An 11,765-nucleotide genomic window follows, 5' to 3' on the forward strand; every position below is an offset into this window, starting at 1 on the left:
CCTCATTAGAATCCATTGCGTGAGTGGTTCTTTCTAAACACTGTCACATTTTAATGATTGCACAGCTTTAATATTTTTAAAACTGTAAATTTGTGTTATAGCCACCAAAACAGAAACTCCTGTTCTCCCACTTGTATCAGAAAGCTGCATGATTTCTGAAGGATGAGAAGCAGGCAAACATGTCTAGATTTTGCCTGATAATCTAGCTTGTTTTATTTCATCTGCATGGCCTTCTCATTGTGGAGGCGCTCTTTCAGTGGGCTCTTCCTGGATGGGAATCCCTCTCACTACAGTTGAATTAGCTGCCAGGGATTTTAGAGAGTGAAAGGGAATTCATGTAGGCTGGATGGGTTCCGCATTGTGGTTGTTGTCTCGTTGGCAAGGCTGAGGTTGTTTGCAATTTGCAGGAGGATTTTGGGTCCTCAGACAGGAATCACTGAACATTGCTTGTACTCCAGCACAAGGCAGCTTGTTCTCTCATTTGAGCCTAGATTTTTCTTTGCTTTCATGGGGAATCCACAGTGCCCCTCAACAGCACTACTGCACATACTATTCGGACTTGTCATCGCTACAGATGGCATTTGAGACACTGTCTCAACGTCATCTGCAGCAGTGAGAGGCCTGTCTGATGTGTAAGAACAGGTCAAGTGCCCGGCCATCTTTTGCTGACAACTGCCTCTGGGGTCTCAAGTATGATTCTTTTACCCAAAAATCCCTCAACGAAGTCAGATTCTATCACCCAAAAACCCCTCAACAGCACACCAGACTATAAAACGATTTCCATGGGACCCAATTCTGGCACACATCCTCTTTTGGGAATGGAGTAAGAAGAGTAGTTTCCAGAAACCACCTCACAGTCTCAAAACGCCTTCTCCTCCAGTGAGACCCAACCACAGAGACAGACAAAGGGGCCCTGAGATGGAGGCTTTTTGGGTCCAGCAATGGTTTTTCACAGGCTGCTTTTTTCCTGATACCAGGCAGATTCTGCCTGTACCATTTTCCTTGGTTAGGCAGGCTGACTGATCTGACAGCCAGGTGCCTGAGCTTACCTCCAGAATGTGCATGCACTAGTTTCAGGGCACCAGGCCTGATTGTGAGCTTTTTTGAGCATCACAATGAATGTTATCATTGCCTAGCGACAAGGCCCTGTGACTTGGCAGAAAAAGGAGACATTCATGGGGATGCATGCAAAGTGGACTCCTGCTATTTTTCTCTGTGGGATCTACGACATAGTCCCATGATCCTAGGATAGGGCAGAAGTGGATTCCTCAGGCCTACCTAAGAATTGTAGGGGTGTCTTTTTGAAACTTGCCCCACTATGATTTCTAGTTAGAGCCCAGCTGTGTTGTCCATGGTTGCTCTATACCATGTGGGGCTTCCTACAGAACCATGCAGCTTCAGGAGTTGCCAGGATGTATGTTTCTGTGGCAGTGTTGCAAATGTTGGAAGTCTGCATGTGTGTAGCATTGTGTGTTTGTGTGTGTGTGTGTGTGTGTCTGTAAGTGGAGTCTTCTTAAAGGAATGTGGCTATCACACTGTAGCATTTTTTTTTTTGAGTCTCCAGAACTTTCGGTGGTCTGTCTCTGCTGCTTTACTTGGGATGCATGTTCTTTATTTTTCTGTGGGTCATTAATCTGCAGTTAATTGAGATGCTGGCTGTGACACACCAGGGTCCAAGTCCCCTCCCGCTGAAAAAATGTCACTTTTCAAGACAGAATAGGAGGAAACCACACCTAAGAACAGACATCACAAAGTTTTTCATTGTTATGCGGCCATCTCAGGAAGAGACAGTTGCAGTGCTGTTCACAAGGCCCTTTGGATTTACCTCGAATTTGTTTCCCAGGAGAGCAGGTTCTACATGTCATGAAGGGCAACTCCTCCATCATTTCAGGATTTTTTTTCTGGAACAGAGAGTGTGAACAGCAATAAGGACAGATACAGGTGAGGATACAATCTGCTGAGGGGTGGATGGGGTCCCACACCTTAGCCTACAAAAAAGTTGAAGACAGATGACACAGAAGGTGTTTCCAACTACATCCCCGAATTCCCTTAATTGCACAAGCAGTCCACACCATCCCTGTTGTTCAGGTGGGAGTACTCCAATATTCAGGGAATATTTGGAGTGCAAACTGGGGCCATTCTGACAAAGTCCTGATTTGAGGGCTTTTATATCTGAAGCGTAATGGGAGGGCGACGGATAGATGCTGGGTGGGATGTGGCCTCCACACTTGCCTCTTGTTTTCTTGACTTCCGTGTTCCTGGTCAGCATAGGGTTTCCTTGGTCTGGGTCAATGTCTTCCAAACTAAACACTTCCAAGTTCATGGAGGACGACACTCACGGGAATCCACTGAGTGAATATTTCCTTCTAAACAATATCAAGTTTTAATGACTGGAGAGTTGTAATAATTTTAGAACTGTAAACTCCCATTGCAGAAGCCAGCAAGGAAACTGTTGTTCTCCCACTTCTATCAGAGGGCTGCACAGTTCCTCTAGGATGAGAAGCAGGCAGCCATTTCTGTCTTTTGCCTGGTAAACTAGACTCTGTTTCATTTCATCTATATGTCCTTTCTCATTGTGGAGGGGATCTTTCATTGGCCTGTTTCTGGATGGGAGTGCCTCTCAGCACAAATCTTTTGGCTGCCAGGGATTTCTGAAAGCAAAAGGGAATTTGGGTAGGCTGGCTGTGCTCCAGCTTGTGGGTCATGGTCTCGTTGTTGCAGCTGATGCTGTTTGCAATTTGCAGGAGGCTTTACCGTCCTGTGACAGAAATCTTTGAATGTTGCTTGGACTCCAGCACAAGTCATGTGGTTCTCTCAAGAGGGCCTTGATTTTTCTTTACTTTCATCATGGGTCCACATTGCCCCTCAACAGCACTACTGGAAACCCCTTTTAGGCTTGCAATCATCACAGACGGGCTCTGAAACACTGTCTCAACCTCATCTGAATCCTTTAGGGGTCAGCTGGAGGTGAGAGAACACTGCTCTGCCTTGGACTTGCTTTTTTCATGGTCCCTTCCTTTCCCAGAGATCCCCTGCAAGGCCCAGCATGAAGGGAGGCAGTGAGGTCAAGAGCCCAGCCATCTTTTGCTGACACCCACCTCTGGTCTCTCATGTATGATTCCACCACCCAAAGAGCCCTCAACAACTCACCAGACTATAGTCTAATCTCCATCTGACCCGACTGTTGCACACAGCCTCTTTTGGGAATGGAGTCAGAGTAGCATTTCCAAAGACCACCTTATAGTCTCAAATCACCTCCTTCTCCAGCAGGACCTGAGCAGAGGGATGACCCAAAGGGACACTATGGTCGAGACTTTTATGGTCCCACTCTGGGTTATTGCAGGCAGCATTTTTTTCAATACCATGCCGTCTCTTCATGTATTTTTTTTTTCTTTTTTTTCGCTTAGGCTGGCTGACAGTTCTGACAGCCCGTCGCCCAAGTCTGCATACTCTTAGGCACAAGGACTGAGCTATGGGCTCGGGTTAGCATCACAACGAAGGCCACCATTGCCTAGGCATAAGTCTCTGCGGCTTTGCGGAGAAGAACTCTGTGGAGGTTAGTCAGTGGTGGACTCTCGCCTCATTTCTCTGTGGGATTCCCGTGATAGTCCCATGAGGCTAGGAGAGGGAGGAGGTGAGCCAGCCTGAAGAAAAGTCAAGCACAGCCCCAGGAATAAGCCGCAAAACTCCTACAGATCCAAAAGGACCTGGAGGATGCCTAAGGCCTCCCGGACTTTGTCAGGGTGAGTCTTTTTAAAACTGTGATTTGCAGGTACAGGCTGCCTGTATTCCCCGGGGTTGCTCTTTCAAAGACAGGGCCAGTTTGGGATTGGGAGGGATTGATGCTGGTGGCATGTGGCCTCCACACTTTCATCTTCAGGGCCAAGGCCCTGGTAATCTGTCACTGATATGCACTTGTGGGGTCTCAGGTATGATTCCATCACGCAAAGACGTCTCAACAATCGCCAGACTATTTTCCAATACCCATGGGACCTGATTCCTGCACACAGCCTCTTTTAGGAGTGGAGTCAGAAGAGCACTTTCCAGCAACCACCTCACAGTATCAAAACGCCTCCTCCTCCAGAGGAAATTACCCGGAGATGGCCCAAAGGTGCCCTAAGCTCAAAATTTTAGAGTTCTACAGTGAATTATCGCAGGCAACATTATTTCTGACACCTGGTCGGCTGTGTCTGTACCATTTTCCTGTTTAGGCAGGCTGACATCTCCTAGAGCTGGGCACAACCACCTGCCTCACAAATGGACATGTGCTAGTATCAGGGCAACAGGCATGAGATGTGAACTATGGCTAGCATTACAATCAATGCTGACATTGACTAGCAACAAGTCTCTATGGCTTGGCGGAAAAGGAGAATTTCATGGAGGGGCATTGGCATTGGACTCTCACCTATCATCTCTGTAGGATTCATGGGATAGTCCCGTGATCCCAGGAGAGGGCAGATGTGAGCCAGGCTGAAATAACATCAAGCAGAGCCAGGAATAAGCCCTGAAATCCATAAGGATCTAAAAAGATCTGCAGAATGCCTTAGGTCTGCTTAGATATTGTAGGGGTGAGTCTTTTGGAAAATTGTCCTACTGTGATTCCTAGGTACAGCCTGTTTTCCATATAGTTGCTCTCTCCCAGGTGGGGCTCCCTGCAGACCCACACAACCCAGGAACTGCTGGGCTGGGTGTTGCTGTGGGAGCACTGAGAATGCTGGATATCTGTGTGTGTGCGTGTGTGTGTGTGGCTTCCTGTGTCTGTGTATTTGTGTGTGTGTGTACCTGTAAGTGGAGTCTGCTTAAAAAAATATGGCTAACGCACTGTGGTGCTTCATTTTTCAAGTCTCCCAACATTTTGGTGGCCTGTCGGTGTCGTTATGCTTTGGTTGCAGGGCTCTATGTTCTCTGTTTTTCTGTGGATAATGAATCCATTGTGATTTGGGAGGCTGGCAGAGGTCCAAATCACCTTTCCCTGGAAAAACAGTCTCTCTTTTAGAAAGAAGAGGAGCACACCACATTCAACAACAGACATCTCCCAGTGTTTTTTAATCCTGCGGCCAACCCAGTGATAGACACTAGTATTGTCCACAGGGCTCCTTGAATTTACCTCGAATTCGGTTCTGAGCGGGTGCTTCACCTTGTACGGAGGCACTAATCCATCATCTTGGGGTTTCACTTTGGGTCAGAGAGTGTGAGCAGCAATGAGGTCAGATAGGGTTGAGGATACAATCTGTTGAGGGGTTGATGGGGTCCCACGCCTTCACCTGAAAAAAAGGTGAACACAAATGACAAAGAAGTTATTTCCAACTGCAGCCTTCTATTCCCTTAATATCACAAGCAGTCCAGACCATGGCCCCATTTTCAGATGGGAGTACTCTAACACACAGGGAATATTTGGAGTGCAAACTGGGGCCATCCTGGCAAACTCTCAATTTGAGGGCTTTCAAACACGGAGCCAAATGCGAGTGGGATGGATTGATACTGGGTGGGATGTAGCTTCCACACTTGCCTCTTCTTTTCCTGACTTCTATGTTCCTCGTCAGCCTAGAGTTTCCTTGGTCTGGCTCAATGTCTTCCAAACTCAACCATTCCCAGTTCATGGAAAATGACCCTCATGGGATTCCCTTGTGTGAGTATTTCCTCCTAAACACTGTTGTATTTTAATGACTGGGCAGCAGCGATACTTTTAAAACTGTAAATCCCTGCAACAGCCACAAACAAGGAAACTCTTGTTCTCCCACTTCTACAGAAAAGCTGCATGATTGCTGGAGGATGGTTTATTGTCCTACAGCCAACCCAAAAACGGCACTACCAGTCATGTTGCAGGGCCCCTTGAATTAACCTCGAATTAGGTTTCCAGATGAGCAGGTGCTTCATGTTGTGAAGGGGCCCTCCTCCATCATCCTAGAATTTCATTCTGGGACACAGAGTGTGAGCAGCAATAAGGTCAGATATGGGTGAGGATACAATCTGGTGAAGGGTAGATGGGGTCCCATGCCTTCCCCTGTAGAAATGGTAAAAACAGATGACACAGAAGGTGCTTCCAACTGCATTTAAGCATTCCCTTAATTGCAAAAGGATTCCACACCATGGCCCAGTTTTCTGGTGTGAGTACTCCAAGTTTCAGGAAACAGTGTTAGTGTGAACTTTGGCAATGCTGGCAAGTTCCCTATTGGAGGGCTTCAGTACATGGAGCCAAGGGGGAGTGGAATGGAATGATGCTGTGTGGGATATGGCCTCCACACTTGCCTTTTCTTTTCCTCACTTTCATATTCTTCATTGGCCTAGAATTTCCTGGGTCTTGCTAAATGTCTTTCACACTAAATGTTTCCCAGTTCACAGAGGATGACCCTCATGGGAATGTATTTCATCAGTGTTTCCTTCTAAACACTGTCACATTTTAATGACAGAGCTGCTGTGATACTTTTAAAACCATAAATTCCCTTTACAGGCACCAACAGATAAATTCCTTTTTTTTTTTCTTAGACAGAGTTGCACTCCGTTGCCTGGGCTGGAGTGCAGCGTCATGATCTCCAGTCACTGCAAGCTCTGCCTCCCGGGTTCATGCCATTCTCCTGCCTCAGCCTCCTGAGTAGCTGGGACTACAGGTACCTGCCACAATGCCTGGCTAATTTTTTGTTCTTTTAGTAGAGATGGGGTTTCACCATTTTAGCCAGGATGGTCTCAATCTCCTGACCTCATGATCCTCCCACCTTAGCCTCCCAAAGTTCTAGGATTACTGGAATAAACCACCGTGTCCGGCCCTTGGGAAACACTTGTTCCCCACTTCTGTCAAAAGGCTGCATAATTCCAGTATGATGAGAAGCAGACAGCCATGTCTGGCTTTTTTCTGGTAATTTACACTCTGTTTTATTTCATCTGCAAATCCTTTCTCATTGTGGAGGGTGTATAGCATTGATTGTTGCTGGATAGGGCTGCCTCTATATACAGATTTCCTGCCACTGATTTCAGAAAGGTCTGTGGTCTGTTTGTGAGAGCTGAGGTTGTTTGCAGTTCTTGGGAGGCTTTTGGTTCCTCTGAGAGGAATCTTTGAAAGTTTCTTATATTCCAGCTCAGGTCAGCTCCTTCTCTCTGGCAAGCCTTGATTTTTCTTTCTTTCCAGGCTGGGTCCACTTTGCCCCTCAACAGCATTACTGGACACCTTTGTCAGACTAGCAATTTCCACAGACACCCTCTGTGAACATTTTTCAACATCATCTGCAGCAGTGAGAGGCCAGTTTGATGTGTAAGAATACTGCTTGACTTTGGACTTGCCTTTGTCATGGTTCCTGCCTTTCTCATAGATCTCCTGCCAGGACAAGGATGATAGGAGGCAAGGAAGTCAAGGGCCCAGCCCCATTCACTGAAAGCTGCCTCTGGGATCTCAGGTATGATTCCATCACATAAAATCCCCTCAACAACTCACCAGACTATATTCCAATCTCCGTGGGACCTGATTCTTGCACACAGCCTCTTTCACGAATGGAGCCAGAAGAGCAGTTTTCAGTGACCATCTCAGTTTGGAAAAGCCTCCTCCTTCAGTGGGTCTCAGCCACAGAGTCATCCCGAAGGGGCTCTAAGGTCAATAATTTTAGGGTCTGACAGTTGATTATCACAGACAGACTTTTTCATGATAGCAGATCATCTCTGTCTATATCATTTTCCTCTGCTTAGGCAGGCTGACAGCTCTGACAGCCAGGCACTTGAATCTACCTGGCAAATGTTCATGCTCTAGTCTCAGTGCAAAAGGCCTGTTTGGGAGTTCTGGCTAGTGTCACAATAAATGCCGCCATTGCCTAGTGACAAGTCAATGTGGATTGAGGGAGGAAACCTCTATGTAGGGGCATAGGTAGTGGACTCTCACCTGTCTTCTATGTAAATTGCATGGGATAGTCCTATGAGGCTAGGAGAGGGCAGACAGAAGCCAGCCTCAAGAAACTTCAAGGGCAGCCTCAGGAATAAACTGCAGCATTCCTAATGATTTAAAAGACATGCAGTATTTCTAATGCCTGCCTAGATGTTGCAGGGGTGAGTCATTTTGAAACTTGCCCCACTGTGATTTGTAGGTAAAGCATACCTCTGTTCCTGGGGTGGCTGTCTCCCAGGGGGGGCTTCCTGAAGAATCACAAAGCCTGAGAATCTGCCAAGCTTTGTTTTTCTGTTGAGAGTGTTGTGAGTGTTGGATGTTTGCATGTATGTGTGGCTGTGTGTGTGTGTGTGTGTGTGTGTAAGGGGAGTCTGCTTAAAACAATTTTGCTAAAGAACTGCAGCCCCCCCTTTTTCAAGTCTTCCAACTTTTTAGTGGATTGTCTCAGGCTGCGGGGCTTTGTATTCTTTCTTTTTCTATGGATTATGACTCTGTAATGAAGTCTAAGGCAGGATGAGACCTGCCAGGTAACAAACCACCTCCTTCTCCCAACAAAAACCACTTTCCTAGAAAGAAGACCACACCACTCCCAAGAACAGACATCTCCCAGTGTTTTATCGTCCTTCAGCCAACCCAGGGAGAGACAGCAGCAGTCCTGTCTGCAGGGCTTTTTAAATGTAGCTCAAATTCAGTTCCCAGCCAAGCAACTGCTTCACGTCGTGAAGGAGAATTCCTCTATCATCGTGAGATTTCATTCTAGAACAGAGAATGTCAGCAGCAATAAGGTCACAGAGAGATGAAGATATAATGTGGTGAGGGGTGGATGAGAACCTGCACCTTCACATGTAAAAAAGATGAAGACAGAAGACAGAAGGTGCTTCACACTGCATCCCTGCATTCCCTTAATTGCACAGCAGTCCACGCCATGGCCTGATGTTGAGGTGGTAGTACTACAAGGTGCAGGGAACATTTGGAGTGCAAACTGAAGCCATCTTGCAAACTGTCAATTTGAGGGCTTTCATACTAGAGCCAAATGGGAGTACGATGAATTTATCCTAGGTAGGATGTGGCATCCACACTTGCCTCTTTTTTTCCTGACTTCCATGATCCTCACCAGCCTAGGGTTTTCTGGGTTTGGCTCAATATCTTCCACACTAAACATTTCCCCATACAGTGATTATGACCCTTATGAGAATCCATTGTGAGTATTTCATATTAACAATGTCACATTTTAACATTTTAATTACTTGGCAGCTGTGATACTTTTAAAACCAAGATTTCCTGTTACAGCTGCCATCAAGGAAACTCTTGTTCTACCACTTCTATCGGGGGATGCAAGATTTCTGTAGGGTGAGAAGCAGGAAGCCATATCTCACTTTTGCCTGGCATTCTAGGCACTATTCCATTTCATCTGCACATCCTTTCTCATTGTGGAAGGGACCTTTCACTGGACTGTTGCTGGATGGTACTACCTCTCATCACAGATCTTTTGGATGCCAGGGATTTCAGGGAGCAAAAGAAACTTTGGTTATGCTGGCTGAAATCCAGGTTGTAAGCCATGGTGTCATCATAGGGGCTGAGGTTGTTTGCACTTTACAGGAGGCTTTTGGGTCCTCTGACAGGAATCTTTGAACATTGCTTGGACTGCAGCCCAAGTCAGATCATTCTTTCAGGCGAGCATTGATTTTTCTTTGCTTTCATAAGGTATGCATAGTGCCCATCAACAGCAGTACTTGACACACTTTTCAGGTTTGCATGGCCACAGACAGCCTTGGAGACACTGTCTCAATCTCATCTGCACCTGTGAGAAGACAGTCCGCGGTGTGAGAACACTGCTCCATCTTGGACTTGCCTTTTTGAGGTTGCTGCCTTTCCCAGACAGCCCCTGCGAGGTCCAAAATAAAGGGAGGCAGTGAGGACAAGAGACCGGCCATCTTTCTCTGACACCCACCTTTGGGGTCTCAGATATGATTCTATCACCCAAAAAATCCTCAACAACTCACCAGACAATACTCCAATCCTCATGGGACCTGATACTTGCACATAGACTTTTTCATAAATGGAGTCTGAAGAGCAGTTTCCAGAAACCAAGTCACCATCTTGAAACACCTTCTCCTCCAGCGGGAACCTGTCACGGAGATGAATGGAAGGGGCCCTGAGTTTGTGAATTTTAAAGTCCCGCAGTTGGTTTTCACAGGCAGACTTTGTCCTGATACCAGGCCATCTCTGCTTGTACTATTTTCCTCTGCTGAGGCAGGCTGACAGCTGTGACAGTCAGGTGCCTGAGCCACCCTCACGAATGCACATGTGCTAGTCTCAAGGTAGCAGGCCTGATTGTGAGCTTTGGCAAAAGTTACAAAAAGGGTCACCATTGCCTAGTGACAAGTCCCTGCCTCTTGCCAGAGAAGGAGACCACTGGGGAGGTGTGTCAGTGGTATACTGTCACCTATCTTCTCTGTGAAATCCACAAATAGTCTCATGATCCTGGGAGAAGGCCTGGGGCTTGGTAGAGAAGGAGAATTCTGTGGAGGTCCATCGGCGGTGGAACCACACCTGTCTTCTCTGTGGGATTCACAGGATAGTCCTAGAAAAGGGCAGACGTGAGACAGACTGAGGAAACATCAAGAAGAGGAATAAATGGTGAACTGCCTAAGGATCCAAAAGGATTTGCAGGATTCCTCAGGCCTGCCTAGAAGTTGCAGGTGTGAGTCTTTTAGAAACCTGTCCCAACGTGATTTATAGGTAAAACCTGCCTGTGTTCCTCAGGGTTGCTCTCTCCCAGGTGGGGATTTCTGATGAACCATGCAGCCTCAGTAGCTGCCAGGCAGTGTGTTTCCATGGGAATGTTGCAAGTGTTGGATGTCTTTGTGGGTACGTGTGGCATTGTGTGTTTGTGTGTGTGTTTGTGTGCCTGTAGGTGGAGTCTGCTTAAAGGAATGTGGCTAATGCACTGCAGCACTTCTTTTATTTTTGAGTCTCTTATACTTATGGTGGCCTGTCTGTGTGGCTCAGCTTGGGTTGTGGGGCTTCCTGTTATTTGTCTGTGGATCATGAATCTGCAGTGAATTGGGAGGTGGGCTGAGACACGCAGGCATCGAAATCACCTCCCCTGCAACAAAAGCCACTCGTCTATAAAGATGAGCACACCATACCAAAAAAAAAAAAAAAAAAGACATCTCCCAGTGTTTTATTGTCCAGAGTCCAAACCAGAAAGTGACCCTCACAGATCTGTGTGCATGGCCCCTTGAATTTAGCTTGGATTCAGTCTCCAGCTGAGCAGATGCTTCATGTCATGAGGAAGATCTCCTTCATCATCTTGGAATTCATTCTGGGACATAGATTGTGAGCAGAAATGAGGTCAGATGGGGTGAAGATACAATCTGGTGAGGGGTGGAAGTAATCCCCCAACTTCACCTGCAAAACATAAAGGCAGAAAACACAGAAGGTTCTTCCAACTTTATCTCTGCATCCCCTTAATTGCACAAGCAGTACACACCATGGCCCAGTGTTCTGGTGGGAGTACTTTAACCTGCAAGGAATATTTGGAGGGCAAATTGGGGCCATTTTTGCAAACTCTCCATTTAAGAGCCTTCATACATGAGCCAAATGGGAGCAGAATTGATTGATTCTGTATTGGATGTGGCCTCCGTACTTGCCTCTTTTCCCCTGACTTCTACGTTTCTCGTCAACCTAGGGTTTCCTGTTTCTGGCTCAATGACTTCCACACTACATGTTTCCTAGTTCACAGAGAACGACCCTCCTGGGAATCCATTGCATGAGTGTTTCCTTCTAAACATTGTCACCTTTTAAAGACTGGGAAGCTTTGATAGTTTTAAAACGGTAAATTCTTGTTACACCCACCAACAAGGAATCTGTTTTTTTTCCCACTTCTATCACA

The 11,765-nt window shown here is 46.6% G+C and overlaps 1 long non-coding RNA gene across 1 annotated transcript in view; it reads left to right on the forward strand.

Moving 5' to 3' along the window:
- Window positions 1–7,801, forward strand: part of LOC101929148 (uncharacterized) — a 45,775-nt gene extending 37,974 nt beyond the window's left edge. The window contains exons 8-13 of the long non-coding RNA NR_110413.1: window positions 1,852–1,941; window positions 3,408–3,743; window positions 5,544–5,629; window positions 5,750–5,946; window positions 6,491–6,608; window positions 7,124–7,801. This is a non-coding gene — a long non-coding RNA (uncharacterized LOC101929148). The remainder of the gene's footprint in view (window positions 1–1,851; window positions 1,942–3,407; window positions 3,744–5,543; window positions 5,630–5,749; window positions 5,947–6,490; window positions 6,609–7,123) is intronic.
- The last annotated feature ends 3,964 nt before the right edge of the window (window positions 7,802–11,765 follow it).

Source organism: Homo sapiens, chromosome Y, assembly GCF_000001405.40.
Source record: "Homo sapiens chromosome Y, GRCh38.p14 Primary Assembly".
Classification (NCBI taxonomy): Eukaryota; Metazoa; Chordata; class Mammalia; order Primates; family Hominidae; genus Homo; species Homo sapiens.